The following is a 17,929-nucleotide window of genomic DNA, read 5'->3' as shown; positions in this document are numbered from 1 at the left end:
ACTTCAGCTTTCTTTTAATTAGCATAGACCTTTTACTTGTAATCTGTTTTTTTCCTTCTAGGAAACATATAGCTCAGTCTTATTTTTTATCCAGTTTGATAATCTCTGCCTATTACATGTTAACATTTACATGTAATATAATTATTGACATAGTTTGTTTAAATCCACCATTTTACTATTTGTTTTCTCTGACTTGTGTTCTTCCTTCCATTTTTAATTTTTTAATAATTTCATTTTATCACCTTTGATGGCTTATTAACCACATGTTTGTTTTGTTATTTCAGTGTTTGATTTAGGGTTTCTAGTATACATCTTTAGCTTCTCATGAGGATTTATTAATTAATGAATCTCATGTATATTTTTATTATTTGCAGTGCATTTTTTAAAGTTAGGTGTATGTATGTTCAGAAAGCATCATCACCAGTACAGCATATATTCTTTCCATGTTCCCATTATAGTATACTATTTCGGTTTTATATTTAATGAGTATATTCAATCTATAATTGTTTTGAATTTTGGCACTCAAATGAAATTCACACTACCTGTTATTTATATAATTTCACAGTTTCTCATACGTAGCTGTCTGGTAAATAAGGCAAGTCATTGATTATTGTTCCATTTTATGGAATACCAAGTAGGTTCTTGGTTTTTAGAAGCTTCTAAGGCACACAGCTAGTAAGTGGATGAGCCTGTATGGAACCCCAGCTTTTATGATTCTAGATCAATACAATTTTATGTATACTGTTGAGTTCATGTTAGAACATAAAAAATGATTACTTTCCAGTCAAGTGATCATTTTTCTTTTTGTTTATGTGTTTTTAACTTTATAGTCCATGGCAGAAGTCCTTGCTAAAAAAGAAGAGCTAGCAGATCGTCTAGAAAAGGCCAATGAAGAAGCCATTGCTAGTGCTATTGCTGAAGAAGAACAGTTAACTAGAGAAATTGAAGCTGAAGAAAACAATGATATTAACATTGAAACTGACAACGACAGTGATTTTTCTGTGAGCTTTTAGACTTTTTAACATAACTATTCAAAATTTATATTTAGAAACAAAATTATCTGGGCCAGAAAGACTTGGAGTCCATCTAGTCCTATTTAGAATTATTTATTTAAAAATCATGTTCAGTAATCATAACTATTATTCTCAGGGTGATTTAGACTTACACAATAAACAATAGCAAATCTTTTGTTAGCACTTTACCATTACTATTTTCATGTATGATACAGTTGACAAGTTAGAAGTTGTTATTGTTATTTTACCAGTCAAGAAATTGAGTCTGGGCCGGTTGTGGTGCCACATGCCTGTAATCCCAGCACTTTGGGAGGCCAAGGCGGTAGGATTGGTCAAGGATAGGAGTTCGAGACCAGCCTGGGCAACATAGCAAAACCCCGTCTCTATTAAAAAAAAGTTAAAAAATTGAGTCTGACATAAAGTAAGAACTCCACATTACTGAGATTATAATTTATAGAAAGTGAAGATGAAGCTAAGGTATTTTACTTTTGTATTCTATTAACAAAAAGTAGGCTGGGTGTGGTGGCTCATGCCTGTAATCCTAGCACTTTGGGAGGCCGAATCAGGTGGATCACAAGGTGAGGAGTTCGAGACCAGCCTGGCCAATATGATGAAACCCCATCTCTACTAAAAATACAAAAATTAGCTGGGCGTGGTGGCAGGTGCCTGTAGTCCCAGCTACTTGGGAGGCTGAGGCAGGAGAATAGTTTGAACCCGGGAGGCGGAGGTTGCAGTGAGCTGAGATCGTGCCACTGCACTCCAGCCTGGGCGACAGAGTGAGACTCCATCTTAAAAATAAATAAATAAATAAATAAATAAATAAATGAGCAAATGATACACTACCTTCTGTTACTAAGTGCTTAGGATATATATGTTAATGATGGGAATTTGTTAAAGAATAAAATAACTTTAAATGTTTTACATATTGGTTTATTAAATTTTAATGCCAAACAATCTTCAATTCTTCAATATTTGCTTTTTATATGTTAGCATTTATGTAGTAATAGGATAAGGCCAATATATTTCTTAAATTTACTTCATTTGTCTCTGCTGTTAATGGCTGCTAGGCTCTTAAAATGAATAGGCTGTAGTATTTTAACTTGGCAATTATTTTGATTGTACTGGTAGGTACCTTTTTCCTGGTTTTCAACTGTTGGTTAAATAGAATATATTAACAATAGGTAGGACATTTTCATGTATAGTTCATTTTCTAAAGTTGTAATTGTGTTCAAAGATTTGATTTTCAACTTCCCTTATTACATTTTAGGCCAGCATGGGCAGTGGGAGTGTTTCTTTCTGTGGTATGTCCATGGACTGGAACGATGTCCTTGCAGATTATGAAGGTATTGTGTATATGCATATTGGGTGTGTAGTACAGTGTTCAAAAGTTTGTTCTCAAATGTTTTATAGACCTATGTGGCTAAACAATAATAGTATTTTTTTCTGAACAGCTCGTGAGTCTTGGCGCCAAAATACATCCTGGGGGGACATTGTAGAAGAAGAACCTGCTAGACCTCCAGGGCATGGAATTCACATGCATGAAAAACTTTCTTCACCCTCTCGTAAAAGGTCTGGCATTTGAAAATTAATTTGAAATGGTTCACAGCAAGGAAACTAGCCACTCTTGACTGTTAAATAAAATTGCTACGTGGCATTTTTGGACACATTACTTCAGGACAGTTTCAGATCCATTGAAAAGTAACAAAGCTTTCCCGAAATGTTGGGCCAAAATTAGTTTTGTATACTTTAAGAACTATGAAGTCTAAAGAACACTTTTTCTGGCCTTATCATGTAAACATTTCATGTCTCTTGTCCATTTGTTTGTATTAATAGAACAATTGCAGAATCTAAGAAGAAACATGAAGAAAAACAAATGAAAGCACAGCAGCTAAGGGAAAAGTTACGCGAAGAGAAAACATTGAAGCTTCAGAAATTGTTAGAAAGGGTGAGTTTTTATTTTTTAGGAAATTATGATAGTCTGAAGTTGCTGGGCTTATTTTCAACTCTACTTCTGGTCTGAGAGAAGCTAAAATAACCATAAAAATAATTAGATTTGCTAGGAAATAAAAGCATTTTAATCTATTGAATCCAAGAAGGTTAACTATTAAAAAATCGTCATTTTCAAATTATCTAGTAAATTGATATTTTGCAGGGTTTGCGTGGATTATTAAAGCTCTACTTTTGCCGTTTTCATTGGAGGGTTTCCTTGGGGAGGTTTGTCTAAAGTGTAGAATGACCTGGTAGGACAATTTGGAGCCTAAGACTATCAGTTTGTAGTGTGTTTGCCCATGGCCAGCCCTGGTCCTTGCTCTTGGCTCTGGTTTTTACTTCTGTTTATGTATCTGCAGCCAACTCCTTCAGCTAGAGGAATGCAAGCTACTGCCCTGTCCCACAGTTGTTGTCAATCCATGTCCATATGCAGTGGGCCAAATAGCCATGCACACACATGGCCACAGCTGGCCATGGCCCCCATTGCCACATGTATGCCTGCAACCAAACTCCACCTGGCCTCTGCCACGACCTGCCTTGGCTCCCACCTACCAGGGATGCTCACTTCTTAACACAGAGGTGCTGCTGGCAGCCACTGCCTACACCCTGTAGCTTTTGGAGCTGAGGACTGCCCTGTTACTGATATTGCCAACTCTAGCTCCCTGAGCTGCCACGCCAATGCATACATATAAACCAAGAGTTGTTGTACTTCCCCGCACTTTGGCACTCTGTGTGCCAGTAGGCTTAGTGCAACAGTATGCTCCTGCATTCCCCACAAGTCATTGCTCCCATCTGAGCAATTGACTATCCTTTCTGAAGCCAGTCCATAAAGACTGGAGAAGGTGACTGCTTCTTTAAGTGCATAGACAGCAATGCAAGGATACAAAGAACATGAAAAATCAGGAAAACTTGATACCACCAAGAGAACACAATAAATATCCAGCAAGCAACCCAAACAAATGAAGATCCATGAAGTCCCTGACAAAATATTCAAAATAACTGTTGAAGGTCAGTGAACGGTGAGAGAACACAGATAAATAATGTAACAAAATCAGGAAAACAACATAAAAACAAAATGAGAACATCAAGAAAGTGAAGCCGTGAGAAAGAACCAAACAAATTCTAGAGGTGAAGAATACACTGAAGAAACTAGAAAATGCAGTAGAGAGCTTCAGCAACAGACTCAGTGAAGCAGAAGAAAGAATCAAGAGAACTTGAAAACAGGTCATTTGGAATTACCCAGTAAGAGGAGAGAAAAGAATGAAAAAAATGAAGGAAGCCTCTGGGATTTATGGGACACTGTCATTGAATGAATATATGCATTATAGGGATTGAAGAGAAGCAGGCAGAAAGCCTTTTTTTTTTTAAAGAAATAACCCAAAACTTCCTAAATATGGAGAACAAAACAGATATCCAGACTCAAGCTCATAGAACCCCACAACAGTTAAAGAAGTCTACATCAAGACTTATTATAATTAAATTGTCAAAACTCAAGAGACAGAATTTTGAAAGCTGCAAGAGAAAGGCAACTCATCTCATACAAGGGAAACCTGCCCCCCCACCACCCCCCACCCCAGAAATGATCAGTGAATTTCTCAACATGAATCTTCCAGGCTAGGAGATAATGGGATGTTACATTCAAAGTACTGAAAGAAAAAAACAAAACCCTGCCAGCCATGATTACTATACCCTGGAAAGCTATCCTTAAAAATGGAAAGGAGATAAAGTCTTTCCCAGACACATGAAAATTGAGGGAGTTTGTCATCACTAGGCTTGCCTGAGAAGAAATGCTAATGGAGTTCTTTAAATGGAATAGAAAAAATGATAAACACCAATGTAAAAGCGTATGAAGGAAAGTATGTAAAGCTCAGGAGTAAATGTACAGTCAAATATAGAATAACATAATACTGTAAGGGTGGTACAGAAATAACTGGTAACCCCAATATAAAACTTTAAAGAAGGCTGTGTGTGGTGACTCACACTTGTAATCCCAGTACTTTAGGAGGCTGAGGTGGGAGGATCACATGAGGCCAGGTGTCTCACACCAGCCTGGACGACATAGCAAGACTTTATCTCTACAAAAATAAGGAACAACAAAAAAATTATCAGTTATGGTGGTAGGCACCTGTAGTCCCAGCTACCTGGGAGGCTGATGCAGAAGGATCGCTTGAACCTGGGAGTTTGAGGCTGCAGTGAGCTAGGATTGCACCATTGCACTGCAGCCTGGGAAATAGAGCCGCATCCTGTTACTAAGGTAGAGTGGGGGAGGGGACTTAAAAGACAAAAAGGTATTAAGGGTAAGTATAATGACAAAAAATTGATAATGGATTCACTGTATGAAAAATAGTAAACTCTGACTTCAAAAACACATAGTGTAATGGTAGGTAAAAGTGCAGAGTTTTGTAGGCCATTGAATTTAAATTAAATTCAAATTAAATTAAAGTAGACATCAAATTAAAGTAGACAGTTGTAACCACAAGGGCAAACCTATTGTAAATACACAAATGCTAAAGAGAAATCAAACCAAACCATTAGAAAAAAAAAAAAAAGCCCACAATCAAATAACAAATGAAGATAGCAATAGAGTAAGGAACAAAAGCCTGCAGAACAAAGAGAAAATAAGTAGCAAAATGGCAGTAATAAATCTGTACTTACTGTTAATATTACTTCAAGTGTAAATGGATTAAACTCCCCAATCAAAGGGCATAGAGTGGCTCAGTGAATTAAAAAAAGACATACCCAACCATATGCTGCCTTGAACAGACTTGGCTGAACACGAAGGAATATCTTATTCCATGTAAATTGTAACCAAAAGAGAGCAGAAGTGGCTAAACTTAGACAAAACAGACTTTAGGACAAGAAGTGTCCCTAGAGAGGAAGAAGGCCATTAAATAATGATAAAAGATTCAGTTTAACAGGAGGATACAACAATTTAAATATATTTGCACCCAGCAACCTAACACATAAATATATAAAACAAATACAAATCTGAAGGGAGAAATTGGCAGCAATACAATAACAGTAGGAGACTTCAGTGGTCCACTCTCAATAATGGATAGAATATCCAGGTAGAAAATCAGTAATGAAACAGCTGAATTACAACAGTATACGCTAAATGTGCCTAAGAAATATGTACAGGATTTTCTACCCCCAAATCAGCAGAATACTCATCCTTCTCAAGTGCGCATGAAACGTTCTTCAGAATAGATCATGTGTTAGGTCACAACACAAGTCTTTAGAAATTTAAGAAGATGGAAATCATACCAATATCTTTTAGACCGCAGTGGAATGAATCTAGAAATCAATAACAGAAAATAGGAAAATTAGCAAAAATGTGAAAACTAAACATACAGTTGAACAACTATTTGGTAAAAGGAAATAAAGGGGAATTTAAATAATGCCTTGAAGCAAATGAAAACAAATATAACTCACTAAAATTTGTGAGATGTAGCAAAACAAGACTCTGAGGGAAGTTTATAGTAATAAATGCCTACACTAGTTTTCTAACTCACAGAACTAGAAAAAGAAGAAACAAAACTAACCCCAAAGTTACTGTATGGAAAGAAATAACGATTAGAGCAGAAATAATTGAAATGCAAAAGAGAAAAACGATGGGAAAAAATCAACAAAACGGTGGTTTGTTGGAAAGAAAAAAATCAAACTCTTAGCTAGTCTAAGAAAAAAAGACTCAAATAAATTAGAAACGAAAGTAGAGTCATTACAATGGATAACAGAGAAACAAAAAGGATCATAAAGAACTATTATCAATAATTCTATGGCACCAAATTGGATAACCTTAGAAGAAGTGGATAAATTCCTAGAAATATACAACCCAACATGACTGAATCAAGAAGAAATAAAGAGCCTAAACAGACCAATAACAAATACAGAGATTGAATCAGTAATCAAAAACCAACAAAAAAAGCCTAGGGCCAGATGGCTTCACTGATCAATTCTATGAAACATATAAAGGAGAAGTAGTACCAACCTTTCTTGAAATTTTCTGAAAAATAAAAGAAGAGGGAACACTTTTGTGAAATAAGAAATATTATATTGGTCTCTGCCCCTGGTTCCTGACATAGAGCTCCTAAAACTCTGGTAGATAGAAGCACTAGGATAATATTGTTTTTCCAATATGTGATCTTTGACCCTGGTTCCCAACAGATAACTTCTATGATCTTTGTAATTTCTTGAGTGATAAGAGCATCTGAAACAGAGTTCCTAAATGCCTTGGGCTTTGCTGAGTGATAGGAGCATCTTTTGTTGTAATAAGGGTACTCTTGGTAGTGTCCTGAATAGCCTCAGAATTGGTGCTGGCTACCAGAACTTCAACCTCCAGGTTTGGTTGATTGCCAAAGCCAGTGATTTAATAGATCATGCCTCTGTAATGAAGCTTCCATGAAAAATCCTAAGAACAGACTTTGGGGAGCTTCTGGGTTGTTAAACATGTGAAGGTGGCACACCTGGAGAGGGCATGTAAGTTTCGTGTCCCTTCTTCACACTTTGCCTTAGGCATCTTTTCCATCTGGCTGTTTATCTGCATCCTTTAAAAGTTCCTTTGTAATAAATTGGCAATAGTAAGTAAAGTGTTTCCTTTAGTTCTGTGGGCCACTCTAGCAAATTAATCAAACTTGAGGAGACAGTTGTGAGAACCCCAATTTTATAGCTGGTTTGTCAGAAGTATGGGTCAGAACTTGGGACTTGTGATTAGCATCTGAAGTTGTGGGGGCAGTCTTGTGGGACTGAGCCCCTAATCTGCGGGACCAGGTAGATAATGTCAGAATTGGATTGAATTATATGACAGCTAGCTGGCATCAGAGAAGTGGTCAGTGTGAGAAAAACCCCATAAAAATCTTGGTGAACAGAATTGTTATTGTGTTGTATGTGAGAGTAGGAAAAACAATTTAGTTTTTCCTATCTCTTACAACTCCCAAACTTGTATTATGAGGCCAGCATCACTCTGATTCCAAATCTAGATAGAAACACAAGAAAGGGGAAAACTACAGACCGGTATTCCAGATGAACATAGATGCAGAAATCCTCTTTAAAATACTGGCAAACCAAATTCAAGAATACATCTACAATCATACCATGATTGAGTGGTATTTATCTCTGGAATGTAAGTATGGTGAAATATACTAAAATCTATAAATGCAATATACTACATGAATACAATGAAAGACAAAAAACACACTAATATTTCAACAGATGCAGGATAAACACTTGACAAAGTTCAATATCCTTTCATGAAAAAACCCTCAACATACTAGGTATAGAAGGAACTTTACTCCACACAATATAGGCCAATGCTGTTGTTTTAATGTTTATTCCTTCCAAGACACATAATGAAGTTTAATTGCTATTGTAACAATATTAAGAGGTGGGTTCTTTAGGAGGAGATTAGGTTATATTGCCTCTGCTCTTATGAATGGATTGATACCATTATTGTGGAAGTGGGTTCTTATTGCAGGAGTGGGTGCCTTATAAAAGGTTGGATTCAGCTCCCCATAGTGCCCATGCCACCCTTTGCCCTCTTCCTTTCCTCCAGGGTTGATTTAGTAAGAAGAACCTTATCAGATGCCACCACCTTGATATTGGACTTCCAGTCTCCAGAACTATTATACGATAAATAAAGTTCTTTTTTTAATAAATTACCTAGTTTCTGATATTCTGTTATAGCAACACAAAACAGACTAAGACCGCCCATATATGAACAACCCACAGTTAACATCATAATTGGGAAAAACTGAAAGCTTTTTCTCTATGATTTGGTAAAAGGCAAGTATGCCCACTTTTACCATTTCTCTCCAACATAGTACTAGAAATACTGGGAAAAGCAAGAAGAAGAAATGAATGCATTATATGGGAAGGGAAAGAAGTAAAATTATCTATTTGTAGATAACATCATAAATATAGAAAACCTTAAAGATTCCACAAAAAACTTTGAGAAATAATATATGAATTCAGTAACGTTTAGAGATACAAAATCAACATGCTTAAGAATCAGTGGGGTTTTCATACACTAACCATGAACTATATGAGAGAGAAATTAAGGATACAGTTTTCTTTATATTAGCAACAAAAAGAATAAAATACTTAGGAATTAACTTAAGCAGGGAGTTGAATCACTTGTATAGTGAAAATTATAAATTTATGAAAGAAAATTTAAAGCAGCAAGTAAATAGAAAGATATCCCTGTTCATGGATTAGAAGAATTAATATTTTTAGAGTGTCCATACAGCCTTAAGTGATCTACAATTTCAGTGCAATCTCTGTCAAAATCCCAACCATTTGTTTTTAGAGAAATAGAGAAACAGTCCTAAAATTCATATGGAGCTCCAAAAGACCCCAAAGATTGAAAGTCATCTTGAGCAAGAAGAGCAAAGGCTATAGTCATAACACTTTCTAACTTTAAATTTTATTATAAAAGTATAGTAATCAAAACAATTTGGCACTAGCATACAAACATACACACAGACCAATGGAACTTAATAGAAAACCCAGAAATAAACCTATGCAATTATGGGCAACTGGTCTTTGACAAGGATGCTGAGAACATACAATGGGGAAAGCATAATCTTTTCAACAAAGGGTATTGGGAATACTGGGTATCCACGTGAAAAAGATTGAAATTGGATGCTTATCTTACACCATGCATAAAAATCAACTCAAAATGGATTAAAGGCTTAAACATAAAATCTGAAACCATATAACTTTTAGAAAAAAACTTGCAGAAAAACCTTATTGATCTTGGTGATAATTTTTTGAATATGACAGAAAAACACAGTCAACAAAAGCAAAATTAGACACGTGGAATTATATCAAATTAAAAACCTATAGAGCAAATGAAAAAATTATCAAAATGAAAAGACAGCTATGGAATGGGAAAATATTTGTAAAAAATAGATAAGGCATTAATATCTAAAATATTTGAAGTACTCACACAACTCAATGGCAAGAAAACAGCCTGACTCAAAAATGGGCAAAGGACTTAAAGAGACACTTCTCAAAAGGAGAAATCCAAAAGGCTAACAGGTACATGGAAAGGTGCTCAGCATCTATAATGATCAGGGGAAATGGAAATCGAACTTGAGTGAAATATCACCTGACACTTGTTAGGATGGCTATTATCAAAATGACAAGAGGCAAGTATTGGGGAGGATGTGGAGAAAATGGAACCCTTGTATGCTGTTGGTAGGAATGTAAATTAGTATAACCATTATAGTAAGCAATATGGAATTTCCTCAAAAAATTAAAATAGAGCCTGTCATACGATCAGCAGTTCTTCTTCTGGGTATATATCCAAAGGAATTGAAATCTGGATCAAAAAGAGATACCTGTGCACCCATGTTCACTGTAACATTATTCGTAATAGCCAAGATATGGAAACAACCTAAATGTCTGCTGACAAATGAGAAAAATATGGTATATATTTGAGTGTGTGTGTGTGTGTGTGTGTGTATATATAAAACAGAATATTATCTAGCCTTAAGAAGAATGAAATTTTGACATTTGTGACAACGTGGATGGAGCTAGAGGATATTAAGCTAAGTGAAATGAGAGAGAGAAATGCTGCATGATCTCACTTCTATGTGGAATATGGGAAAAAGTCACATTCATAGAAGCAGAGAGGGGAGATGGAGTGATATTGGTCAAAGGGTACAACAGTTTGACTTATGCAAGATTAATAATTTCTGGTGAGGTAATGTACAACATCATGACTGTAGTTAACAAAAAACAAAATACCTGAAAACATAGGAAACATTGGGTTTATTCCTGGAATTCAAAGATATTCCTTCATTAGAAAGTCTATGAATGTAATGGGATATAAACTGATTAGAAGAGGAAAACCATTATTTTCAACATCAGGGAAAGATGATCAAGTTTGGGTAAGTGGGTGGGGCACTAATTATATTTACAGAAGAGAGTCTGTGTATTTAGAGCAGAATAACTATTGATCATTGCGGTAAGTGGAAATAACATGGGCTCTGGAGATAGCCAACCAAGTTTAAATCTTGATTTTATCATATAATAAGCTATGATTCCCTGAGCAAGTTACTTAACATTATTGTATTTCAGTTTCTTTTTCTGAAAAATGACAATTATAATTATTAACCTGTTGTGATGCTTAAATGAGGCAAGCATGTAAAATAGTAACAGTGCTAGGTTGGATGTTGTTTAATATACAGTCACTCTTATAACTGAGTACTGTGTTATCTATGCTGTATTATAAATGACAGAAAAATGTAGCTTAAAACAGCAAACATTTATCAGCTCACATTTTTCTGTGAAAAAGGCAACCAGGAATTGCATAATGATTCTTCTATTGTTTTTTTTTTAGAGTCAGGGACTTGCTCTGTCTCCCAGCATGGAGTGCAGTGATGCAGCATAGCTCACTGCAGCCTAGAACTTCTGGGCTCAAGCCATCCTCCTGCCTCAACCTGCTGAGTAACCAAGATTACAGGCACATGCCATCTTGCCTGGTTAAATTTTTAATTTTTTTGTAGAGACAGGGTCTTGCCATGTTGCCCAGACTGGTCTCAAATTCCTGGCATCAAGCAATCCTTTAACCTCGGCCTTCTAAAGCACTGGAATTCCAGGCATGAGCCATCATACCTGGCCATCATTCTTGCCCTGGGTCTTTGATGATTTTTTTTTTTTTTTTTTTTTTTTGAGACGGAGTCTGGCTCTGTCGCCCAGGCTGGAGTGCTGTGGCACAATCTCGGCTCACTGCAGCCTCCACCTCCCGAGTTCAAGCGATTCTCCTGCCTCAGCCTCTTGAGTATCTGGGATTATAGGCGTGCACCACCACACCTGGCTAATTTTTTATATTTTTGGTAGAGACGAGGTTTCACCATGTTGGCCAGGCTGGTCTCGAACTCCGGACCTGAAGTTATCTGCCTCCCAAATACTGGGATTACAGGCGTGAGCCACTGCTCCTGGCCTGATGAATTTTTAGTTAAGCTATCAGTCAGGTCATAGTCATCTGGGTCTGGAGGATCCACTTCCATACTCATTTGTGCAGTTATTTGCTGGCCTTCGTTCCCCTTTGGCTGTGGGCCAGAAACCTCACTTTCTTGCCAAGTATACCTTTCTACAGCCCAAGTGTCTTCATGACATGGCCAGTGATTTCTCCATAGAAAATCAGAGAAAGAGTGGGGGAGAGAAAGGAAAAAGTACCTAAGAGAGTTGATAAAATGAAGTTGTGCTGAGTTTTATAACATCACTTTTGCTGTATTCTTTTGGTCACAGTCCTGATACAATATGGGAGGAGATTACATAAGGATCTTAAAACCAGGTGGCTTAGATTAGTGGGCACCATCTCAGAGGCTCCATACTACAAGTACCTAACACAGCATGTTGAAAGATATATGGCCACTATATTGTAATTACAGGTGAACTCTTTCGTTACCTTCTGGTATTAGAAAGGAATATAAATATGCATGGGTTAAGCATATTATTTGGATTACTTTTAGTGTGTGATTTAAATTTGGGAGAAATAGTTGGACCACATAATCTGAATGTTCATAAAAATGCGTTAGGTAGCACACGATTCTGTTGAATACAGTAGTAAAGTTGACTAGGACTGTAAGAAAATTCTTTGATTTTTCTTTTTACTTGAATCTCAAGAATTTGTCATTAGATGAATAGATTTGATATGAAAAGCAGTCTCTTGTGGGGTTCTGCAAGAGTCAATGTATTATTTTAATTTTAGCTTAAGAGAAGTGCTCTAACACAATCACAGTTCTTCTCTTACTGTGTTTTTTAATGCCAGCAAAATTATAGTGTATTTTCTTTTATCTAAATATGATCTCCAAGTATTCATGCAAGAAAATCATAGATTAGTGAAAGTATACAAGACTTTAGATGTTTTCTGGTTATTTTCTCATCAATGTAGGTATCCCTTCAATTAATTTTAATGGCAACTTTCATCTTCCATTTGTATGATGGATTATTGTTTTCAACACTGTTTCACATGAGTAATATCATCAGATCACCACAATAACTCTATGATGTACACAGGGCAGGTACTGAACCTCATTTTATAGAAGTAAAAACAATCTAGGAGAGGCTAAGTGTTGTTTCTAGTGTTACACAACCAATAATTTGCAGAGCTAAGGCTTTAAGGACATGTCATCTGGCTCTTAGTATAGTGCTATTTTTGTATCATACTTTTTTGGATGGTTCAACACAATTATTGAGAGAAAAAAACAATTAAAATGTTAGGTTTTTTCCACTCATATTGACCCATCTTCTGATTTTCTATAATTTATTTTCATTGGTGCTGAATCTTATTTCCTGGAGCACAGAACAAGCTTTTGCTTCTTCTGTTTGAGATTGTTTTAAGGAATTAAAGTTTTAAGGGTTAATTTCTTAAAATAACATCAAATAGCAATTACTACATCTATCTTTTTTTGTAGGTGAAACCCTCTCTGTTCCTTCAGAGAATGTTTCTTATGCAAATAATGTGATTTGTTAGATGTCATTTTTCAGTTTCTAGGATAAAATTACTTATTTTTCTTGAATGTGGGTTACATCATAGAGATGTTAACATTTATAAGGACAAGAATTATACACTATATTCATTTTAAACATACTCATGGTAACAGTACAAGAATAATAGCAAATATTTCTGTAGAGGCATGTCTAAGCCACTGTTCTGAGAGTTTTATGAACCTTCAAATAATCCTGTGAGTTAGGTAATGTTATTTTTATTTCCTGTTTATAGGTAAGGAAACTGAGACATAGGCTAAAAAAGTTGTCTAGATTATGCAGCTAGTAAGTGGCCAATGTAGATTATGAATTCAGGTAGTCTGGCTTCATAGTCTGTGTCCTTAATTGTTAGTCATGTTGCTGCACATTTTTCCACGCTTAGAGTTTATATTTCATAAGCCATTTACTTGTTTGTACTTCTTTTAAATGATTGTATATATTGAAATTAAGGATGTGATGATTCACTATACGTAGGAGAAGGATGTCCGGAAGTGGAAGGAAGAATTGCTAGATCAACGACGCAGGATGATGGAAGAAAAATTACTTCATGCTGAGTTTAAGCGAGAAGTGCAGTTACAAGCAATTGTGAAAAAAGCACAAGAAGAAGAAGCTAAGGTATATCATAAGAGCTTTAAATGTTGACTTAATTACCCAAGTACTTTTTTGAATTGTTATATAATAGTAATAGAAGATAATGTTTATCCAATGTTTATTCTGTTGTAGAATAACAGCATTTTACACACTCATTTAAAACTTACCAGGTGCAATATTTTATCCCTTTGATAATTCTATGAGCCATCTATTATTATTTTTACAACCCTGTAAAGGTATAATTGATAGAGAATAAGCAGCACATATGTAAAGTATTCCATTTGATGAGTTTTGACATGTATATATCCTTGAAACTATCAGTACAATGAACATAATACACAATTCCTCTTTGTAATTCATTCCTTCATTCAACTCTATTATCTAATTACTGATCTGCTTTCTATCAGTATAGATGTTTGCTTTTTCTAGAACTTATGTGCATGGAATCATACAGTATCTATTGTTTTCTCTGGCTTTCCCTCATAACAGTTACTTTGAACTTCATCCATCCTGTTGTGTGTGTGAATAGCTCCTTTCTTTTCATTGCTGGGTCATTCCATTTCTTTACGTATGGAAATACCATAATTTGTTAACCCAGTCACTTGTTGATGGACATGTGTTTTCTTTCCAGTTTTTTTCTATTACAAATATAGCTGCTGTGGCAATTCATGTATACATCTTTGTGCAGATGTGTACTTTCATTTTTATTTTATAAAAACCTAGGAGTGGATTGGTGTATAGCATCTTACAATAGGTTCATGTTTAAGTTTTACACATGGTTTTCCATACTAGTTAAATATTTTACATTCCTACCAGCAGTGAATGAGAGTTCTAGTTGTGCCATATTCTGACCAGCACTTGACACAGTTACACATTTTAATTTGAGTCATTTTTTTTAAATACATGTATAGAGTCTAATTTTTTTCCTATTTTTTTTGTGGGAAAAACATAATGTAAAATTTATCATCTGAATCATTGTTAAGTATACAATTCAGTGGTTTTAATGCATTCATGTTATGCAGTCATCACCACCATGTATCTTCATTACTCTTTTTCATCTTGTAAAACTGAAACTCTATACTCATTAAACAGTAACTCCTCATTCTCACCCCCAGCCCCTGGCAATCATCATTCTACTTTCTAGATCTATGATTTTGACTACTGTAAGTACCTCTTGTAAATGGAATGATATGGTGTAATTTTATCCTTTTGTGACTGGCTTATTTCATTTAGCATAAGGTCTTCAGTGTTATAGCATATGTTAGAATTTCCTTCCCTTTTCAGGCTGAGTAATTTTCCATTGTATGTATGTACCACATTTTGCTTATCCATTCATACCTCAATGGACATTTGAGTTATTACTACATTTTAGCTATTGTGAACAGTGCTGTTGTAAATATGGGTGTACAAATAACTCTCCAGTTCCTGCTTTGAATTCTTTTGGGTATATACCCAGAATTGGAAAGGCTGGATCATACAGTAATTCTATTTTTAATTTTTTGAGGAATCACCATGCTGTTTTCTACATGTAGTTCACCATTTTTATATTCCCATCAGTAGTGCACAAGGGTTCCAGTTATTCCATATCCTCTCTAACTCCCATCATTTTGTTTTTGTGATAGTAGTCATTCTGATGTGTGTTATTTGGTATCTCGTTGTAGTTTTGATTTGCATTTCTCTAATGATTAGTGATGTTGAGCATCTTTTCATGTGCTTATTGGCCATTTGTATATCCTCTTGGAGAAATGTCTGTTCAAATCCTTTTCACATTCTTGAATTGAGTTTTTTTTTTTTATTGTGGAGTTTTAAGACTTCTGTATATATTCTTGATATCAATTTGTTTTAAATCAAAGATATGATTTGCAAACGTTTTCTCCCATTCTGTGGGTTGCATTTTTACTTTGACAGTAGCATCTTTTGACATGCAAAATGTTTTAATTTTCACAAAGTCCAATTTGTCTGTTTTTTTCTTTTGTTGCCTGTGACTTTGGTGTCATATCCAATAAATCATTGCAAAATCTAGTGTCGTGACACTTTGATCCTGTGTCTTCTTCTAAGAGTTTTATAGCTTTAGATCTTATATTTAGGTAATTGATCCATTTCGAGTTAATTTCAGTATGTGGTGTTAGGTAAAGGTTTAGCTTGATTTTTTGCCATGTGGCTGTCGAGTTTTCCCATTACCATTTGCTGAAAAGGCTTTTCTTTGTCCATTAAATTATCTTGGCACCCTTGTCAAAAATTATTTGACTATATCTGTGAGGGTCTATTTCTTAGCCCCGTGTTCTATTCCATAGGTCTATATGTCTGTTTTAGTGCTAGTACTATACTGTTTTCATGATTGTAGTTTTGTTGTAAGTTTTGAAATTAGGAAGTGGGAGTCATCCAATTTTGTTGTTCTTTTTCAAAATTGTTTTGGTTATTTGGGGTCCCTTGAGATTCCATATGAATTTTAGGGTGGACTTTTCTGTTTCTGCAGAGTCATCATTGGAATTTTGGTAAAGATTGCATTGAATCTGTACATCACTTTGTGTATTGTTGATATCTTAACAATATTAAGTGTTCTGGTTTATGATCATGGGATAATTTTTTATTTATTTGTGTTGTCTTTAATTTTTCAATAATGTTTTATAGTTTTTATTGTATGTGTCTTTTGCCTCCATGGTTAATTACTAAGTATTTTATTATTTTTGGTGCTATTGTTAATGGAGTTGTTTTCATGATCTCCTTTTCAGATTGTTCCTTGTTAGTGTATAGAAATGCAATTGATTTTTGTGTGTTGACTTTGTATCCTGCTTCTTTACTGAATTTTTACTACTTCTAACAATTTTTTTTGGTGGAATCTGTAAGTGTTTTCTACATATAAGTTCATATCATCTGTGAACAAAGATAATCTTACTACTTTCTAAATTTGGGCACTATTTCTTTTACTTTCCTAATTTTTCTGGCTTGAACTTCTGGTGCTACCTTAAATAAAAGTGGTGAAAGCAGGTATCTTTATCTTGATCCTGATATCAGAGTAAAAGCTTTCAGTCTTTTACCATTGAATATGATATTTGTTGAGGTTTTTTCATACATAGCTTTTGAGTTTGTTCTGTTCCTAGTTTGTTGTTTTTTATCATGAAAGATGTTGAATTGTCAAATGTTTTCTTCTGCATCAGTTGAGACTGTGTGTTTTTTTCCTCTTTAATTCTGTTAATGTGTAATGTTACATTGGCCAGTTTTCATATGTTGTACCATTCCAGGAATAAATCCCACTTGGTCATGGTGTATAATCCTTTTAATATGCTTCACTAGTATTTTGTTGAGAGTTTTTGCATTAATATTGATAAAGGATATTGGTCTATAGTTTTTTCCTTGTAGTTTCTGTCTGGTTTTGGTATCAGGGTAATGCTGGCCCGATAGAATGAGTTAGGATGTATTCCCTCCTCTTCAATTGTTTGGAGTTTGAGAAGGATTGGTGTCAGTTCTTTAAGTGTTTGATAGAATTCACCCATAAAGCCATCAGGTCCAGGGATTTTCTTAGGAGATTTCTAAATTACTGATCAATGTCCTTACTAGTTGTAAGTCTATTCATATTTTCTAAATTTTTTTGATTTAGTCTTTGTAGGTTTTGTACTTGTCTGTATTATGAGTTAGGGTTGAGATTTTTTTTTTTCATATGGATATGTACTGTTCCAGCACCAGTTGTTTAAGACTGTTCTTTTTACATTGAATTGCTTTAATAACATTGTTGAAAATGAATTGGCCATGAATATGTGAGTTTTCTTTCTAACTTGATTCTGTTTACTTTATCTCTTGTGCCTGTTTTTATACCAGTACCACTCTATCTTGATTGTTGTACC

The 17,929-nt window shown here is 35.0% G+C and overlaps 1 protein-coding gene across 29 annotated transcripts in view; it reads left to right on the top strand.

Moving 5' to 3' along the window:
• The window catches only part of SCAPER (S-phase cyclin A associated protein in the ER), a 557,437-nt gene that overhangs the window by 137,422 nt on the left and 402,086 nt on the right, over positions 1–17,929 (top strand). For all 29 annotated transcript variants that reach the window (NR_148227.2, XR_007064448.1, XM_017022273.2 and 26 more), the window contains 5 exons: positions 831–1,001; positions 2,281–2,356; positions 2,465–2,582; positions 2,847–2,958; positions 13,971–14,111. Coding sequence is in view for 27 of the 29 variants with exons in the window: in XM_017022273.2 (XP_016877762.1) it covers positions 831–1,001; positions 2,281–2,356; positions 2,465–2,582; positions 2,847–2,958; positions 13,971–14,111 (618 nt within the window). In the remaining 2 variants the exon portion in view is untranslated. The remainder of the gene's footprint in view (positions 1–830; positions 1,002–2,280; positions 2,357–2,464; positions 2,583–2,846; positions 2,959–13,970; positions 14,112–17,929) is intronic.

The sequence above is a fragment of the Homo sapiens genome, chromosome 15 (genome assembly GCF_000001405.40).
Source record: "Homo sapiens chromosome 15, GRCh38.p14 Primary Assembly".
Taxonomy (NCBI): domain Eukaryota; kingdom Metazoa; phylum Chordata; class Mammalia; order Primates; family Hominidae; genus Homo; species Homo sapiens.
This window is presented reverse-complemented; position numbering and strand designations above follow the sequence as displayed.